Source organism: Homo sapiens, chromosome 1, assembly GCF_000001405.40.
Source record: "Homo sapiens chromosome 1, GRCh38.p14 Primary Assembly".
Taxonomy (NCBI): domain Eukaryota; kingdom Metazoa; phylum Chordata; class Mammalia; order Primates; family Hominidae; genus Homo; species Homo sapiens.
The window spans coordinates 204,178,737-204,197,875 of NC_000001.11; the positions used below are offsets into that span (position 1 = coordinate 204,178,737).

The window sequence follows — 19,139 nt, forward strand, 5'->3', positions numbered from 1 at the left end:
TTCTAAGAGGGTAACAGAGTCCAAAATGACAGCCTCTGTCTTATTTCTCCTGGTTTCCACCCCAGCGCACAGCCTGGGAGGGGAACAGTTGGAGGAGAGATCCCGAGATCAGAAAATGGGCAACACAGCTAAGCACGACCATGCATGGTCTGGAGCTGGGACAGGCAAGGGGCCTGAAACCATGTCCTGAAGGTTGGCCAAAGGCCCTGGAGAAGCTTAGCTGGAAGAGAGAAGCCACACATGCGGCCCTGGAAGGAATCAGAACCAGCCCTATTTTCTGTGCCCACAATGCAGATCTGAGGCTCATGAGAAGTGGCGGGATGGGGAGAATCTGTTTGAGTTCCATTCTAAGGAGGAACTGTCCAGCGGTTCACACTGCCCAGCAGGGCAAGTGCCCTCTGAGGCGGTGAACTCCCCTACCTGGGGATAGTCCTGCCCAGGTGCTCAACTGTCAGGGAGCTCCCTGCCATGGACAGGGCCAGGCTGACTCTGTGCCTGTCCAGCTCTGGTGTGTCCTGACTGCCAGGTGGCCTGACCTGTAACTCTCCCATTTCTGCTGCACAGGTGGGGGAAAATACAGAAGGGGAGGTGAAGCTGCCAGGAGAGCCTCTCCTCCCCTCTGAACTTGGGCCTTCCCGAGTCCCAGGCTGGGGATGGAAAAGAGAGAGTATGAGGACCCTTATCAGGTCATCTTTTGACCCCCTTCTGCCCGGGGTCCAGTTCTTCTCACAAAGGCTCGCCAGGATGCTACGCAAAAGCCCTGGGCTGCGTCACCTCTCGCTCAGGGAAGTGGAGTGGGTGGGGGCAGAGGGAAGGGTCATATTGCCCCAGCCCTTTCCCAGCGGGGCAGGGCTGGGACGTGAGAACCAGGCAGGGGAAGCATAAATCCAGTCAGATCCCAGCCCTCTCATCTTACTTCAGATCCCACAACCTCTGGAAATCTCTCAGGACATAAGTGGTGCTCAGGGTTTTTTCTTAAAAACCCCAAATCCCACTCTCCTCCATGATAATGAGCCCAGGGAGATTCAGGTGTTGAGACCAAGGCTGGAGTGGTCAGGGGAGGTCGAGGGTGGAGGGAGGGAAGTCTGGGTAGCATGAAGAGTCTGGTTTGTGCTGCTGCGAAACAGGCATGGATTTATTCTTGGTATCAGCAGTTTAGTAGAAAACTCTTATCATGGCCCCTGCCCAGGGGGTGGTGGTAAAGAGGTAGAACTTGGACTCACTGAGGCTTAGTGCTTGGGAGCTAATCATCTCTTGGCCAGTCCTGCTTCAATTCATTAAAAAGCAAATGGGGCTGGGCATGGTGGCTCATGCCTGTAATCCCAGCTACTCAGGAAGCCAAGGTGGGAGAATTGCATGAAGCCAGGAATTCAAGGCCAGCTTTGGTGACATAGAGAGCCCCTGTGTCTAAAACTATTTTTAAAAAATTATCCAGGCATGGGGGCACACACTTGTAGTCCCAGCTAATTAGGAGGCTGAGGAGGAAGGATAGCTTGAGCCCAAGAGTTCGAGGCTGCAGTGAGCTGTGGCTGGGCCTCTGCGCTCCAGCTGTGTGACACAGCAAGACCTTGTCTCAAAACAAACAAAAGCAAATGAGCAAGCAAGCGGTGAGATCAAATGGCCACGTCTCTCTTCCACCTGTCCTCCTTCCCTCATCATGCTTCACTCCCCATCGCTGGAGAACTCCAGCTGGCTCTGGAGGAATTTACCAATCAGATGGGGCGCTGAACTCTACTAGTAGAGATGAGCAGCTGTGGCCTTGAGAGGAAAGAAAGACCCAGAATGGAGTTTTGTAACCGTCCAGTGCTGCCTTGTGTGGGCAGACTCTCCAGAAGGGATAATTACTCAGAGAGCTCTGGGCAAGGGATGGGCAGGAACGGAAGAACCTTGGGATGGAGGTGGGGTAGGGGTAGGAGTGAGGAGAACCAAGCATCCTTAGTTGTTTGTTCTGGGAACCTTAGAGGAACAGGTATTCAGCCATGGGGTTGGGTGATCCCAACCTGAGGCCTGTTTAACTGGTGACCCAGGAAAATTGAAGGCAGGTTACACAGGTCTTGGGATCTGTAGGGGCCTGGGGCAGGAGGGGATTGGCATGGGGGATGGGGGCTTGGTGGGATAGCCTGATTGAAGGGTGTTCCTAAAATGAGATGCACCCAATGTGGTGGAACCAGACATCAATACCCTGAGGCATGAAAGCTAGAAACATAGAAAAATGCTTTTCCTTAGTGGCACCAGGAGTCTGTTTTGTTATCGAACAAGGTTAAGCTGGAAGGCTCCTTTTCTAGAGGAGGATTTGACAGCACAGCAGTGGAGTGTGTGTGTGCGTGTGTGTGTGTGTGTGGTGTGTAGGGAGTGACAGAGGGGTGGTATAGTGCTAGGGGTTCGTGTGCTGAGTGTCACCAGCAGAAGCATAGCTGGGATGGAGGATGGCTGTTAGGGACAGGGGTTGTACTATTAAAGCAAAATTATCCAGTGCCACTTATTAAAGCACAGTAAGGCAGACTTTACTCAGGACTTTTGAGATAGATACAGGGACCACTGCAACAGGTTCTTGCAGTTGGGGAGAGAAGTTGGGCTCAACTCCAAATACAGCATGGGCAAGTGAAAATGTAAAGCCAAGGAGCATGGTGGGGTCAGTGGATGAAAATTACTAAGAGGAAACATCAGGGGCATGGGGGCATTCTGGCTAAACTCATGTAACAGGATTCCTGCCACAGACAGGCCATGGTGATCAGACATCACCTGTGGCATGGTGCAGGCTGAGGAACCTGGTCAGATATCCAGGGTGATCAGATATTGAGGGTGGGGATTATTTGCTAAATTGACTTAGCAGGGCTCTTTGCTAAAACTGGATTTTACAAGGAAGTGCCCAGATAAACCTAGCAGAAGATTTGAAAGGCATAACTAAAATTTGGACAAGCAAAAATTCTTTGTCAGCACCTCAAGAATACATTTCCCAGAAAACAGACCTCTCTCTTCCTCCCTCCCTGCCTGCCCACCCGCGTCTCCCATCCTTCCTTCCCCCCTTTCTCCTCCTCCCTTCCTCTTTTCTCTTCTCCTTCTTCGTCTTCTTTTTCTTCTTCTTCTTCTTTTTTTTTTTTGAGACAGTCTCGCTCTGTCACCAGGCTGAAGTGCAGTGGTGTGATTTCAGCTCGCTGTAACCTCCACCTCCCGGGTTCAAATGATTCTCCTGCCTCAGCCTCTGGAGTAGCTGGAATTACAGGCACAAGCCACCATGCCCAGCTAATTTTTATTTATTTATTTATTTATTTATTTATTTATTTATTTATTTATTTTTTTTTTTTGAGACGGAGTCTCGCTCTGTCGCCCAGGCTGGAGTGCAGTGGTGCGATCTCGGCTCACTGCAAGCTCCGCCTCCCGGGTTCACGCCATTCTCCTGCCTCAGCCTCCCAAGTAGCTGGGACTACAGGCGCCCGCCACTACGCCCGGCTAATTTTTTGTATTTTTAGTAGAGACGGGGTTTCACCGTTTTAGCCGGGATGGTCTCGATCTCCTGACCTCGTGATCCGCCCGCCTCGGCCTCCCAAAGTGCTGGGATTACAGGCGTGAGCCACCGCGCCCGGCCTAATTTTTATATTTTTTAGTAGAAGCAGAGTTTCACCATGTTGGCCAGGCTGGACTTAATATTTTTTTAATCAGAAAAAAATATGCTGTAGCTTTAAAAATGAATACAACTAAAAGGCTTATAATGAAAACCAGCAATCTCCAATTCCACCCCCACCCCCAGCTCTCAGCCTGGCTCCTCCAAGGTAAGACTGTTAACTCTCTAGACTATTCTGCTATTGTTGGTCATTCATATTCCTAAAGGTGACGCATATACTTTTATTTATTATTATTATTTTTTGAGATGGAGTCTCGCTCTGTCGGAGTGCAGTGGCATGATCTCGGCTCACTGCAACCTCCACCTCCCGGGTTCAAGAGATTCTCCCTGCCTCAGCCTCCAGAGTAGCTGGGATTACAGGCACCCACTACCACACCTGGCTAATTTTCGTATTTTTAGTAGAGACAGGGTTTCACCATGTTGGCCAGGCTGGCCTTGAACTCCTGACCTCAGATGATACACCCACCTCAGCCTCCCAAAGTTCTGGGAATTACAGGCGTGAGCCATCGCGCCTGGCCAAAATTTTACACATTTTTATTACTCTTCTTTTGTGATAGATGAGAATTTCTCTCATATTCCACCCCTTGGTTTTTGACAAAATCAAAACTCAGGTCTTTCCTGCCTTCGGGCCTGGGTGTGCAGGAGGCATAGAGGTCACCACAAGCCCCAGGCCAGCTCAAGCTCTGTGTTGTCCACCCAGGACTGCTACAGAGGGAGCCTTGGTGCCTAAGGAGTGGCTGACGGTAGGGAACAACAGCCAAGGAGGTATATCAGACAGGTTGCTCATCAACTCCCAGCTTGATTCTAGAAAGAACTCCACTCTCCAACCAGTCCAGACACAGAGGAGTCCCTTAGTGGACCAACGACAGACCTTTCTCCCACAGATGGCCCAGGCACATGAAAAGCTAAGAAAATAAATGGCGGGTTCACCACCTGGTTGTTTCAGTATTGAAAATATTGATGGTTCTCTTAGAAAAGTTATACAAATGGATATGGTCTTGTTTGAGATGAACCAGTCGAATTCAAAAGTAAAGAGTTCAGAATCTGAGGATGAAGATGACAGCATCCCTTGTGAAGTCACCATTGATAACATTAAGCTTTCTAATTCTGAAGGTGGAAAAGGCAAGACTGAAGTTTTGGATAGTCTGGCAAGTGAAAACAAAAACAAAAACAACCTCAATATTTACAATAAATAATTATTGTTCACTGTGTATTATGGATTAATTTCCTTTCTTGTGTATTTTGTATATTCATTGTTTAGCATTGCCTCTCCTCTTCTACTTCTTGTTTTTCTATGAACTTATTTATTTATTTATTTAAGACAGGGTCTCACCCTGTCGTCCAGGCTGGATAGCAGTGGTGCACTAGTGGCTCACTGCAACCTCAATCACCCCAGGCTCAAGCAATCCTCCCACCTCAGCCTCCTGAGTAGCTAGAACTACAGGCGTACACCACCACGCTTTTTTTTTTTTTTTTTTTTTTGTATTTTGTGTGTGTGTGGAGACAGGGTTTCACTATGTTGCCCAGGCTGGTCTCAAACTCCTGGGCTCAAGCAACCTGCCCATCTTGGCCTCCCAAAGTGCTAGGATTACAGGCGTGAGCCACTGCACCCGCCTGACCTTATATATTCTGCTGAGATCCTCCAAACCCCTTCCCACCTGGTCTTACACCCAATTTATGGCCCAGTGGGATTTTTTCCAGGGAGCTCTGCCTTGTTGCCCTGGGGACCTCTCTCTGCTACATCTCTGTGTGCTGGTGCCTGGGAATTGCTCTTTCTCAGTTTATGTGTTTGTTTAAATAGAGCTTCCAAAGCTCCCTGAGAAAGAGTGCATGACAGTAAACACTTCTAGCCCTGACATGTCTAAAAAGATCCCCATTTGGACCTTATTCTTGATAGTTCAATGTGAAAAGAATTCTAGGTTGGAATTATTTTCTCTCTGATATTGGAAGTGGTTTTTCCAATATCTTCTTCTTCTTTTTTTTTTTTTTTTTTGAGACAAAGTTTCACTCTTATTGCCTAGGCTGGATTCTCCTGCCTCAGCCTCCAGAGTAGCTGGGAGTTCAGGCACCCACCATGCCCAGCTAATTTTTTTGTATTTTTAGTAGAGACAGGGTTTCACCATGTTGGCCAGGCTGGTCTCGAACTCCTGACCTCAAGTGATCCTCCCACCTTGACCTCCCAAAGTGCTGGGATTACAGGCATGAGCCACTGTGCCTGGCCATATCTTCTTGTTTGAATGAGTCTGATTCTCAACTCCTTCCATGGTTTCATCCCAAGGGGCTTCCACTGCCTTTTCCTTATGCCTGGCCTGGGTCTTTTTTCTTTCATAAGCTGGACACTCAGTGAGCCCTTTCAATTTGGAAATTCATGTCCTTCCATTCTGGCAAATCATCCTGCATTAATTGTTTGGTCATTTCTTCCCTTCCATTTTTCTCTTTTCTCTTTTCTTGGAACTCACATAAGTAGGATGTTGCAACTTTTGTTTGTTTTTCTACTTTTCCTATATTTTATCTCTTGATTTTTTCCTTTTCTTTTTCTTTTCCTTTTTTTTTTTTTTTTTTTTTTTTTGAGAAAGAGTCTCATTCTGTCACCCAGGCTGGAGTGCAATGGTGTGATCATGGCTCACTGCAGCCTCAAACTCCTGGGCTCAAGTGATCCTCCTGCCTCAGCCTCTTGAGTAGCTGGGACTACAAGAGCCCACCACCATGCCTGCTTGATTTCTTTTTGTTCTACTTTCTAGGAGATTTCCTTAACTTTATGTTTCAATTCTTTTATTTTTTTTTAAACATTTTGATCTCATATTTTTAACTTCCAAAGGCCATTTCTGATTCTCTGATAACTTCTGTTTTTACTGCATCCAGCACTTGTCTTATAGATGCAAAATTTTCTTTTATACCTTCAGGGATCTTACACTTTTGTTTTGTTTGTTTGTTTTTCTTTTTTTTGAGACGGAGTCTCACTCTGTCGCCCAGGCTGGAGTGCAGTGGCACGATCTCGGCTAGCTATAACCTCCGCCTCCCGGGTTCAAGCAATTCTCCTGCTTCAGCCTCCTGAGTAGCTGGGACCACAGGCATGCACCACCAGGCCTGCCTAATTTTTGTATTTTTAGTAGAGATGGGTTTCATCATATTGGTCAGGCTGGTCTCGAACTCCTTACCTTAGATCCACCCACCTCGGCCTCCCAAAGCACTGGGATTACAGGTGTGAGCCATCATGCCCGGCCCATTGTGTTTAAGAAACAAGATCTCCTTATGTTTCCTAGGCTGGTTTCAAACTCCTGAGCTCAAGAGATCCCCCGCCTCACCCTTCCAAAGTGCTGGGATTACAGGTGTGAACCACCACAACTGGCCGTTTTTTTTTTTTTTTTTTTTTTGAGACAGAGTCTTTTTTGCTCTGTCACCCAGGCTGCATTGCAGTGGTATGATCATGGCTCACCACAGCCTTGACCTCCCAGGCTCAAGCGATCCTCCCACCTCAGCCTTCTAAGTAGCTGGGACTATTGGGTGCACACCACCATGCCTAACCAATTTATTTTGTTTTTTGTAGAGATGGGGTCTCTCTATGTTGCTCAGGCTGGTCTTGAACTCCTAGCTTCAAGCTATCCTTCCTCTTTGGCCTCCCAAAGTGCTGGGGTTACAGGTATAAAGCACCACACTTGGAAATATGGGACATTTTGTAATTTTTTTTTAACCACACATAAAAAATTGTATCTGTTTTCTGCAGAAAGTGTTTCCTCTGTATTTGTGTGCTTGGTCTACTCTTCCAACTCGAAGTTTTCTTCAAACTCCAGTGACTCCTTGACTTCATTCATGGTTAAGAGGGAAGCAGGTGGAGGGGCCTAGAAACTCAGAGTGCATAGGCAGAACTAATGCGCAGGTGCACCCCACTCTAGTTGGGGGCTCCAAGCTGGCTTTTTTCTGGGGCACCCTCCAATGTCAGCATCTGAAGGTCTTTTCTTTGGGGTCTTTGGTCTCCCGCCTGGGGAATATATACCTTGCTGCCTGCATTCCCGGCACACAGAGAGGGAGGGGGCTTACCCAGAGAGACTGTCACATGGTCCTGCTTTTCAGCCACTCTCTTTTTTTTTTGAAACAGAGTCTTACTCTGTCACCCAGGCTGGAGTGCAGTGTTACAATCTTGGCTCACTGCAACCTCCTCCTCCCTGGTTCAAGCAATTCTCATGCCTCAGCTTCCTGAGTAGCTGGAATTACAGGCACACACCACCATACCCAGCTAATTTTTGTGTTTTTAGTAGAGACAGGGTATCACCATGTTGGCCAGGCTGGTCTTCAACTCCTGACCTCAAGCGATCCGCCCACCTCGGAATCCCAAAGTGTTTGGATTACAGGCATGAGCCGCCGCGCCTGACCTTCAACCACTCTTTATCCACATCTTGATTATGCTTTCTGTCCCCATGACTGGAGTGTCTCCACTGCAGTCCTTGGGAGAGGAAGTGTCTGGCCTCTTCCTGGTGGAGTAGCCTGGTTGTGTTCGCTGCGGGAGGGGAGTCGGGAAATCTAACTCCTCCCTGTGCAGATTTTCAGCCAGTCTCCCTGTTTTCAGTCCAGGTGTCATCTCTACCAGACATTTCCACATGCCAAGGCTTGGTCCTGGGCAGGAATCAGTCATGTCCCGTCGGTAACCCCCTTTGCTGGCTTCAGGTTGTAGCTTCCTTTGCTCTCTGCCAAGCCCATCATACAATTTCCATCTTCAAAATCTTGTTGACATTTCTCATCTGCTCCGGTTTCCTCTCCCTTCTCTTTGTCCTTGAGGGTTTATACCTTTCTTCTTCCTTTGCTTCTTCTAAGGGGCTTAGGGAGTGAGCAAACACAGATGTGTCCAAAGTGGTACTTTTTAACATTTTATGAAGGCAATATGCTGCAGGGTTAATTGTAAAGACTATTGGGCAGATATTAAAGGAATCATAAGAAAGCAAAACCTGAGAAGGTGATGAAAGTGGGGAGCTGTTTGTTGTGTCTTGGCTTCCCCAGTAACCAAAAGCAAACCTTGTCCCCAGGCTCCGCATTCTGCACCAAGCACGAAACCATGATAGGTTCTGATGTCTTTTAAAATGGAAGATGGAAAAACGGAAGAAGGCACAGGTGAGGAAGGGCACACTGTTTGGACTTGACATCCTTCCCCTCCCTGTGACCAATTCTAGACCTGGGAAGCTGCTGGCAGAGAGAGAAGGCAGGCAGGGGCAAGAGCAGATGCCTGGCCCCTGGCATGTGGTCTGAGAAGAGGAGACCTGCCCTGGGGATTGGTGACTTGTCTGTATTGTCACTAGTGTTGTGGAGAGGCACTGCAGATGGGTTGGATAGAGTGACATTGCCTGCCAGACTGCTTCCCAAGACAAATCATTCAGGAAAAGGGTTGGGTTTGCTACCTGGCAGTGCTTTCTTAAGTGGCATAGGGGCTACAGAAGAAGGAAAGGCTACAGTATGTAGGAAGCTTATGGTGTTTGCAATTAGAATGTGGGAGTCTGACTCTTGGCTCTACGACTTTACAACTGCTTGAGCACACTACTTAAACCTCTTCAAGCCTCAGTTTTTTCTTCTATACAATGAGGATTGTACTCCCACCTCATGCAGTTGTCAGGATAAAATGAGGTAGGCCTGTGCTTGGCATGCTGCAGGTACTCAAAAATGGCTCATGAATGTGATAAGAACGATACTAGAGGCAGAAATCTCCCTGCATCCCTCTCACCCCTGCCCCCTAATTCCTAGCCCACATCTATTGTAAATGACTTACCAAACGGGATGGAGCCTGGGAAGAGATCCTCCCACTTCCAATCACAAGGGATGCCAGGCCCTGCTGATTTCTCCCCTTTGGGCACTGTCCAGAGACCCCAGGAAGAAGTAGGTTCGAGTGCCTGCAGGCAGCCCTACCTCCAAGTGTTTGGGCTCTGGTGCCCCACTCTCTGAGCCCACCCAGAAAGGCTGGAGGGAGGGAAGGGAATCCCTGGGGCTCTTCACAGCCTCCAATCTCCTCCTCTCCTTCCCTTCCATCTGGATAGCAGGCTCACAGGCTGGGAGCCACATGAAATCAGAAATCCCTTTTGTTCCACAGAGACTCCCCATATTTTCCCAAGACACGAGGCCAAGAACTGCAAAGCCCAGAGTCTCAAAGGTAGCAGTTCAGGCTGCTAGAAGCATGGGATGGGCATTCAACCCCCTTCTAGCTGTCTGCTGAAGCAGGGCCTCTGGTCAGCTAGACGAGAGATCTTGGGGGACCCTCGGGTTGCAGCAGTGCTGACAAGGACTGGAAGATGGTTAGAGGAACCCACACTATACACAAGGTCACACAGGCATGTGCATATGAACTTCATGCAGTTTCTTATATTGACCCCCCTCATACATGCCCTCTCACACACACCCCAGCTTCTCACACCAGAGAACACATTTCACTCTCCCGCACTTGAAGCGGCACACACACTCCTCCCATCTGCCCAAGCTTAAGCTTGTGAGGAAGAGTAAATGGGGTCACAGGAAGTTTTGTAAAAATTCAGAGCAGAATTCAGGAAACCATCAGCTTCTTCCTGCCCATCATCAGATAAAGGATTGCTTCCAGGGGCTAGGAGAACAGCATGCTTAATAGAATAGGTCTTGAGTTGATGATTGCCCTCCTAGAGGTACAGAGACACACCCCAGAGTGTTTAGGAATAAAAAGCCCTTCTAAATATCAACATCATGCTGTCATGATGCGTGATGATGTGAGCTCACAGCAGTATCGATAATTTGGGAGATCCTGGAGAGCTGTTTCAAGGGTAGAGATGGGGGAGCATGTTGTCATGTTCCCATGACAGCCTATCTCATTGCCATAGCAACACAGCTCTGCCTCCATCCTGTGGAGTCCTGGTTTCCGTAGTGGGTGGAACACTGTGTCACTTCACTGTATGGAGACGGGTCCTACGATCCCTCTGGGAAAGAACATTTTCATCCTAGACTGTGCAGTATAGGGGTACCCCGAGGCTAAGTAGTGCTGTGTTTTCTTGTCGGCAGGAGGGTGGATTTCCTGGGGTTTTCCCACTGACGAGCTCTACTTCTTCCTACCACAATTTCTACTCCCCAGCTATTGCACCCCAAAGTAAGTCCCCATGAGGCAGGCTACGCTTTCTTGATCTGCACCTGGCTGACTCAGATGGAAACCCTGCCATGGCAGAGAGGCATGACAGGTCAGTGGGGAAGACAGGCTCTGGTATCAGGAGACCTATTAGGCTTGGAGCTCATTGCCGATGTGTCTGGAGCGAGTGGTTTATCCTTCTTGACTTTAGGGTTCTACCTGTAAAGATGGGGCTAATGCATTCCCATCACCCTGGGTAGTTATGAGGATGAAGGAAAGCAATATGTGTAAAGACCCAACCTGGCTCCCTGGAGGGAAGGGGGAAGAGTGAGTGGCTGGTCCACTGTTGATGCCCTTTGCATCCCAGACCCCAGCAGGGGTCTGACTGTGGGGCTCAGATGATATTTAAGCCTCAATGGACAGGGCAGTGATTGGCATCATCTTCCAGATCAAGCTGCCCAACTTCCGTGGGAAAGGGAAAGGTACTTAATCAGTCCATCTCCCCCATGCCTCCCTTATCCCCCAGTACTACTCAAAGTGTGGGCAGTGAGCCATGACCCTCTGCAAAATGTCACCCATCCTCAGGGAGATAAGTCTGGGCATTCTGAGGACATCTCCAGAAATTTTTATAGAAATTTGATATCGCTGAAACATTCCAGCAGCATACAGTTTGGTCTTCTCTTTTGTTGTTTTTAAATTTTTCAGATTTTCAGTGATCCATTTTAATTTTTTTTTTTAAGTACCAATCTGCAATGGATTGGAGAACTAACCGCCTGTTCCTTCATTACACCTAGTGTGAGAAGCACTGACCTTAATGACACCAGAGGCCTCTTGAAATCAGCTAACCATCCATTGAGGATGGAAGGGGAACAGCCTCATCAGAGCTGCTTGCAAAAATGAGCCGCAGACCACACGTCAGTGAGTTACGCAACATTTCTTTTATTGCCTCGGGTTGGAAGCTCCAGCGCCCCCTCCCTTAGCCCTACGTCCCCGCCCCCCGCCCCCGCCCCGCATGCTCTGACTCCTTTGGGGTCTGAAGTTCACTGCCCCGCACCTGCGCCCTCAGCCCCGCCCAGCGCTTCTGCCGTGGTTCCCTGGTGCCGCCTCCCGCTTGCCGAAGCGCAGGCCGAAGGAGTTCCAGTTGTAGTTCGGCAGGTCCTTCTCCCGCTGCACCAGCACCGCGCCCTGGGGTGCGGGGATCTGGCGGCTGTGGGGGGCGGACAGGCCCGGCTGCTGGGGGCTCCCGGAGCTCTCGGGGGGCGGGGACAGCGAGGTCCCCCGACGGCTCAGCCTGGCAGTAGCAGCTGGCTTCCTCTCGGTGCACGGCAGGCTCTGCTCCCCGGGGGCCAGGAGGCCCAGGGATTCTAGCTGCTGGCCTAGGACAGAGGGCACAGAAAGATGAGGCCGGGGTCCGGGAAAGATGGCTTTGCAACACCTCCTGTCATCCCATCCTATCCTTCTTTTCCTTCCTTGACCTTTTGGAAGCTCGGAGCTCAGTGCCATGCGAACCAGCACGATCACCTTAGCTGGGATGATTAGGCCCTAGGCGCCTCCCTCTTCCAACATAGCTTTGATTTAGAATGTTTGCCAGAATTATCTTAAATAACTCTCATATTACGTTACTTCCTTTTAGGAAACAAACAGGGTAGGGCATGGAAATAAAGAAAACCAAAGTATTTGCTGAACACCCAGCTCTGGGCCCCTTCCTGGCTGTGAGCAGCCTGGGCAGTGGGGCCATGTTAATTCATCTCTGTATCTCTCATAGTGCTTGAAACAGTGGCTTGCTCATAGTGGGGCCTCAATAAATGCCTGTTAAATACATAAAAGCTAAAAACGTGTAGTAACAGAAATCGAGAAAGTGGAGCTAAGACATTGTGGCCCCACACACCTGTGTTCCAACACTCGTCTTTGATAAGAATTGTGACCACCCACCCCCCCAACCCCGCCCAATAAGCTACATAAGGACTCAATGAGAAACAAAAATTATCTAGGTCACCTTAACTGGCTCTCTTCCTCCATCCTGGGTATAACTTCTCTCCTTCATTCTGAGGATTAACAAGGCTAATTTGGAAGGCACTTCACATGCAAGGCTCATTAAGTTCACTGTACTTTTTGGCTGTAAAATAGGGCAACTAGCTCTGTGTAGACAATAACCCCAGCCCATTGCGGCAAGAGATTAGTGGAAATGAGGCCTGGTGTGTGAATGGGTGTGAATAGATGTGCTGGGGCGGCAGTTGGCTTTGAGCCCTGCTCCTCCGTGCCCTGGCACAGTCTGGAAAAGAGGAGTGTGGACCTGGTCCAGAGTTAATGGCAGTCGCCTGCGAGGTCCCTCAGCCCTTGCCCAGGGCCTGGCTGAGGTAGGAGGAGGATGGCTTCCTCCCCAGTTGCGCACGCTAGACCAGTAGTAAATCACTGTTCAGGCTGCTGTTGGTGACCTCACCTAAAGCCTTTTGCCAAAAAGAGCCAACAACCCTATATCCCTGGGCAGTGTGGGGTTATTTTCTGGGGTAGCCTCCCTCACCCAGAAAAACGCCTGATCCCAGGACAGAAGACACGCTTGGCAAACGACACCCGGGGCCGTGTCCTCTGTGCTCTGGAAGGTCTTATGGGCATATACGATGACATCAAATGTGTAGAGGGCATGCCCCAAGTTTTATAGCTGGGGGAACTCAGGTCCAGAGAAGCTAAGTCATGGGTTCTAGTTTGCCCAGAAAGCTGACACCAGGAAGTGTGCCAAGCCACAGCTCCTGACTTGGGGACTAGTATTGTTCTAGCTTGTGCCACTCACCAGACACACTCCTGGGGAGCTCTGACACCTGCTGGGTTTCCACAGTGTTTGAGCGACTCTGGGGAAATCTCTTTACCTCTGTGGGTCTCAAATTTTCCAGCTTATCAGTTCCCCAATGAACTGGAGACAGTTCATTGTCTCCAAAAGGTTAATAGGTATCAAATATCTGCCCTTTGGTTTAGGTTTTTTTTTTTTTCCAAATTCTCCACAAAGAATCTGAGGTCACCGATAAAGCAAGGTTGCATATGAAGTTTCTTCTCAACATCGGCACAGAGAGGTTGCTGACGTAGAGCAGAGAACACAGTGTGAGGAAACCATGAAAGAGCTCAAGGGTTAATAAGCCCTGGAACCTAGGTGGGCGGACTGAGGCCATCACAGAGGCAAGGCATCCGTCACTTGCAGGGTTAACAGGACCCCCTCAATGAGTTGCATGTGTGCCAGTCTTAGATTTCCACCAAATGCAATGTTAAACTCACACCAGTCGACTAGATGGAAAATACGGGAAAGCTCATTTTGCAACAACCCACTTGCTCCCTCCCACTCCTTTCCCCAGAGGATACATACCTGTGGGTCTAGAATTCCCCACAGAGGCCACCTTTTCTAATGGCTCCCCAAAGTGGGTGGCACAGAGGAAAAGCAGTAGCTGCCAAGAAACCAGTGAGTTCATCTTGGTGAGAAGAGGCAGGTCCTAGAAGTGCCTTGAGGCTGAGACAGAGAGAGGGAACAAAGACTAGGTCAGGCACAGGATCTGGGCTGGGTGCTGAGGGCAGAGCCCAGTGCAAAAGGGACAGTCCTCCAAGAGAGGGGCAAGTTCTTGCCTTTGGAGGCTCCTGGTAGAGGGATGAGTCTAAACAAATATATCAGTGAAATGGGATTGAGACTCTTTACACAGTGTAGTTAAAGCTGAATTCATGCTAGGTGAGGGTCATCAGGGAGGGCTTCCTGGAGGAGGTGAGGACAGTAAAGTTAGGAAAAAAGGAAAGACCCAATTTGGTGGAAGGGGCAGGACTGCTTGGGTCAGAGAATGGCCAGGATTCTGAATCTCAGGGTTGCTTGAGAGGAATGTTTGAGAAAGGTGGGGTGAGATGCCATATATAGGAGTGACTGGGGAGGGGTGAAGTAGGGCAAGGACTTCAGGGCACTGAGTGGGGAACTTTGAGGTTCCAATATTCTCTCGGGAGCCTGGCAACAGGCACTTCTTCCTTCCATGGTGGGTTCTGCACAAATCCACAACTTTCTGTGTTCCACTCTCCCCATCCATACGCTTGAGTCTGACCTTGTTCTCTCCTGCTGTAAGAGAAACTTATTTCTTTTTCTTTTATAAGGAAAAAGAAAGAAAGAGGCAATCATCTTGCTCTCTCTCATAGCCCTTCACAGCCTTGAAGACGGTCATTAAATTGTCTTATTGCCTATCATTCATGGAAAAGAAAAACCTTTCCTTGATTTATCAGGTCAGTTATCTCCATAGTCTATTCTTTGTGGACTCTAAGAGGCTATGAATTGAATTGGCCTCATCATTTTGGCTGCTGAGATGGGAGCCGTGTGCCCTGATCCTCACACCATTTCCCATCACCCTGCCTTGCTCTGCCCCACCGACACCCCACATACCCCACCCTACCTCTTCCGGCTCCCAAATCTAATTTCTTTTTGAAAAAGTCACCAGACACTTTGAGACTGTCCAACAAACACGATTAAAGACAAAAGGCTGGGGAGGCAGGAGCAATGCCAGCTGAGCAAAAAGATTGTCCTGGCCTGACCCACAGCCTGGAGCCGCTCTCCCTGGGGAAGGGGGACTGGGGGATGAGAACCTTTTGTGCCCATCAGCTCCTAATGGTGGCTCAGGCCCATGCATCTCTCTGCTCTTGCACCCACACCCCCACCCCCCATTCCTCACCCAGCTCCCTGCAGGACTCAGGCATGGAGTAAAGAGTAAGAACCCTGAAATGGAATGAGGAGTACTTGAATCTTGCCCCAGCTCTGCTTTCATTCCCTGTGAAATGTGAGCAAGTCACCCCCATCTCCAGACCTCATTGGTCCATCTATAAAATAAGAACCCTGGATCAGATTGGCCACCAGCCACCTGCTCAGAAGTTTACTTATCCTTGCAGACTTTGATACTGTGACAAGTTGAAACCCAGACCACAGCTTTCTGCATTTACCTTAAGGCCCAGGGCTGGGGCACGGAGTAGAGGTAGGATTAATCCATTGGAGAGAATAGTGTAAAAGCATTTCAGACCGTGGATGCACAGGGTCTGGGTTGATTTGGAAATCACTCCTTGAGCACCGACTAGGTGCTGGTGCTGTGCTAGGTGCTAGGGGTGCACAGGTGTGCTAAGACAGAGTTGCTGCCCCCAAGATCTCAAGTCTAGCATGAGAAATTAACTCATCAGCAGATCATTTCAAAATAACACTGTAAATGACATACCGGATGCATGTGAATCCACAAGGGGATATGGGAGTCCAGGGGAACCCAACCTAGGAGGACCAGGCAGATTTTTGGCAGGGGGTGGCACTTGAGCTGTTTCTGAGCATGAATCGCTGAAAGGTTTACAGAAAGTGTTCCCAGGACGGTGCTAAGGCGCTGAAGCAAGGGCAGGGGCTGAGTGCAAAGGGAACTTCAGGCCCTCTAGCTAGACAAGAGGATGGAGCTTTGCATGGAGAGAAAGCTAGTGACAAGGCTGGGGGAAGGGGCCCTGCAGGGGCTTCATCCTGGAGGGGTCTGAGCCAGACAGGAATGTGGGTAGATGTACATTTCCGGTTCTCTGTGCGGAAGCAGGGTGGTGGGCCAGGAAGGAGGGCAGTGGGCTTGTGTGGTTGGAGGGTGGTACTCTTTCTTCCGGCTCCCCTTTCCCCCCGAGTGCCTCCTTCCCACTGTGGATGGCACTTACCATGTGCGCCATGGGACAACTCTGCCTGACCCCAGCACACACACACACACCCCCCACACCACACACATACACCACACACACCACACATGCACACACACACCACACACATATATACGCACACACCCATACACATATACACGCATACACCCATACACACACATCATACACACACACATACACCACACACACCACACACATACACCCATACACACACATACACATATGCCACACACACCACACACGCATACACACCACACACATATACACACATACACCTATACACACACATCATGCACACACACCACACACGCACACACACCACACACACATATACACACATACACCCATACACACAACATACACACACACATACACACATCCATACATACACATCATACACACACATACACCACACATACCACACATGCACACACACCACACAGATATATACCCATACACCCGTACACATACACTACACACCACAGATGCACACACACGCCACACACATATACACACATACACCCATACACGTACATCATACACACACATACACCACATACACCACACATGCGCACACACATCACACACATATACACACATACACCCATACACACATATCACACACACACACACACACACACACACACACACACACAGATTCCACTGCCCAGCCCATCGGGGCACTTAACATATATGGTAGAAATGAATTATTTGGAAAGGGGCCATGAGTGGCCGACCTGCTGTAGACAATTTTTGTGGTTCCCTCCACCCTGGGGGGTTTGTATCCAGTGAGTGACAGAAATTCCAGGCATGGTTGGAAAGCTTCTGGAGTGAAGTGGCCCCTAGTTCTTAGTGGGTAGGTAGATGCCCTTGGTTAGGCTTGTATTTGCCATCTGTAATTTGGGGGGAGCTGCTCAGAGGAGCCCCATTGCTCTCAAGAGCCCCGAGCGGTTCCCTAGGTCCATCCAAGCGTGTCTGTGGTCTCTAATTCCAGCCACAGCATTTATTTATTGCATGTATTCCTTCCACAGCAAGAGAGAGCCCTCGGGATCCCCAGAGTGTTAGCTTCACAAATAAAGTGCGACTCAGTGTATTCGCCCAGGCATCCCAGGATAATCTGGCCAGGCTGGTAAACAGGAAAGATCAGTGTCTCCCTCCCCTGCCTTTGCCTGCCTGGATGCATCTGTCCGTCTTAGAACGGATTCCCTGCTCCCCTCCAGAGCATCCCCAGGTCAGGGCAGACCCCCTTCCCAGGGGTGGACACTGCAGTGTGCCTACCTTGCCTCAGTCCTGGCCTGGGCAGGAGTCTGGCGGAGCCTCTGAGGTGACGAGACCACCTGGCTGGGTGAATGTCCAGAGGGTGGGCAGCTGGGCTCCCGGTCTCAAGAGTTCTCCCCAGCTCCCTGATCACATCCCTTTTATAAAGCCCGGGGTGACGTCTCCAAGCACAGGCCCACTCTGCCGCCCCTCCCTCCTCCTCAGACCCTCCTGAAGAGCATGGCACCTTGGGAGGCCTCTGCCTCCGGGCTCTGTGACTGGAGGCAGCCTCTCCTCCTGCCCCACCCGAGCCCTCCGAGGCGGGACTTTCTCCTTCTTACCGGCTCTTTCCATCCTCCACACCCTCTTCCCACCCAGAGGACCCATCCTGCCCCCAAACAACGTGGAAATGGGCTATCTGAGGAGGGTGGGGAGAAGTGTCAGTGTGAAATGTCTTGTTTCCTCTCCGAAGAGCCACAGACACACCTAGTCTGAATTAGACGTAGAAAACGACAGGAAGAGGGGAGGAGAAGGGCACAGGCTGACCCAGGGGCTCCTCACATCCCATGCTCCCAGCTCTGAGGGAAAGCCAGGTCAGCGTGGGTCTCCAGGCGGCTCCTAGACTGCGCCCTGTGACTGGCACAGGGTGGTGGTGGCAGAGATTCTCTCCTTTTTCCTTCCTTCCTGCTTCCCTTCTTTCCTCGGTCACTGAGCGCTTCCTCAGCGCAGGGTTTTGAGGTGAATAGGCTATGGACTGGTCAGAGACCTTAGGTAAGCAACCAGCTATGAGCAAGGAGGACGAAATGGGAGCTGCAGAAGGTGGATGCACCTGGGAAGTGCCAGGGGTGCAGAGAGGGGACTTCCAGGTGGCAGCACATCCAGACAGCCTGCTTGGGGGCCCCACCTTCTTGTCTCGTGGCACCCACCACCATACTATTTTGTGACTGCTCAGGTACAGCACTTTGAGGACAGGGACAGGCCCCCTTCCCCCTGTACCCTTGGCACCCACTCCATTGCTGGGCACATACAGAGAGGGCCCTCAATAGATATTTGCTAACTGCATGCATCGCAAGTGACTTTTGTCTCTTTCTTGAGCCTGCAATAACTCTCTATACCCTTGGACAAGGGGCTCTCCAGGGCAGAGACTGTTTCTTCTATCAGGCTGGGAGTCTCTGAAGGCAGGGGCTATGTCTCTACCCTCAGACAGGACGCTCTCCCAGCACAAGCTCAACCTGGTCGTCCCCTAATGCTGGAGAAGCATGCCGGCAGTCTGCAGGTTAGCACCCCTCACTTGTCTGATGCTTACTGTTAACAGGGGATTGCAAACATATTATTATCACACCCATTAGGGCTGTTAAACACCAGGACAGAAATGATAGCCTATGAGGACAGCACTGACCCTCATAGACCAAAACTTCGCTGTGGGGATGATGTGTACGTTGGCCTGTCCTGAAGCAGGAGGTGGTCTTAATGGGCTGAAGACGCTAACTTTTTTTTTTTTGAGACGGAGTCTGGCTTTGT

General features: G+C 49.9%; 1 protein-coding gene across 1 annotated transcript, besides 2 other annotated features; it reads right to left on the reverse strand.

The window, feature by feature from the left end:
• Positions 80 to 580: an enhancer, noted in NCBI's record as "H3K4me1 hESC enhancer chr1:204147944-204148444 (GRCh37/hg19 assembly coordinates)". NCBI's record gives its function as "activates a minimal SCP1, AML or CMV promoter by ChIP-STARR-seq in primed H9 embryonic stem cells {active_cell/tissue: H9 hESC(primed)}" and the evidence as "EXISTENCE:reporter gene assay evidence [ECO:0000049][PMID:30033119]".
• Positions 10,746 to 10,825: an enhancer, noted in NCBI's record as "active region_2359". NCBI's record gives its function as "activates an Ori minimal core promoter by ATAC-STARR-seq in GM12878 lymphoblastoid cells {active_cell/tissue: GM12878}" and the evidence as "EXISTENCE:reporter gene assay evidence [ECO:0000049][PMID:35858748]".
• On the reverse strand, positions 11,605 to 17,755 carry KISS1 (KiSS-1 metastasis suppressor). The gene is made up of 3 exons (NM_002256.4): positions 17,640 to 17,755; positions 14,038 to 14,178; positions 11,605 to 12,061 (listed from the first exon to the last, which is right to left on the reverse strand). The coding sequence occupies exons 2-3, from the start codon at positions 14,138 to 14,140 to the stop codon at positions 11,748 to 11,750; spliced, it is 417 nt and encodes a 138-aa protein (NP_002247.3). The 5' UTR covers positions 14,141 to 14,178; positions 17,640 to 17,755; the 3' UTR covers positions 11,605 to 11,747.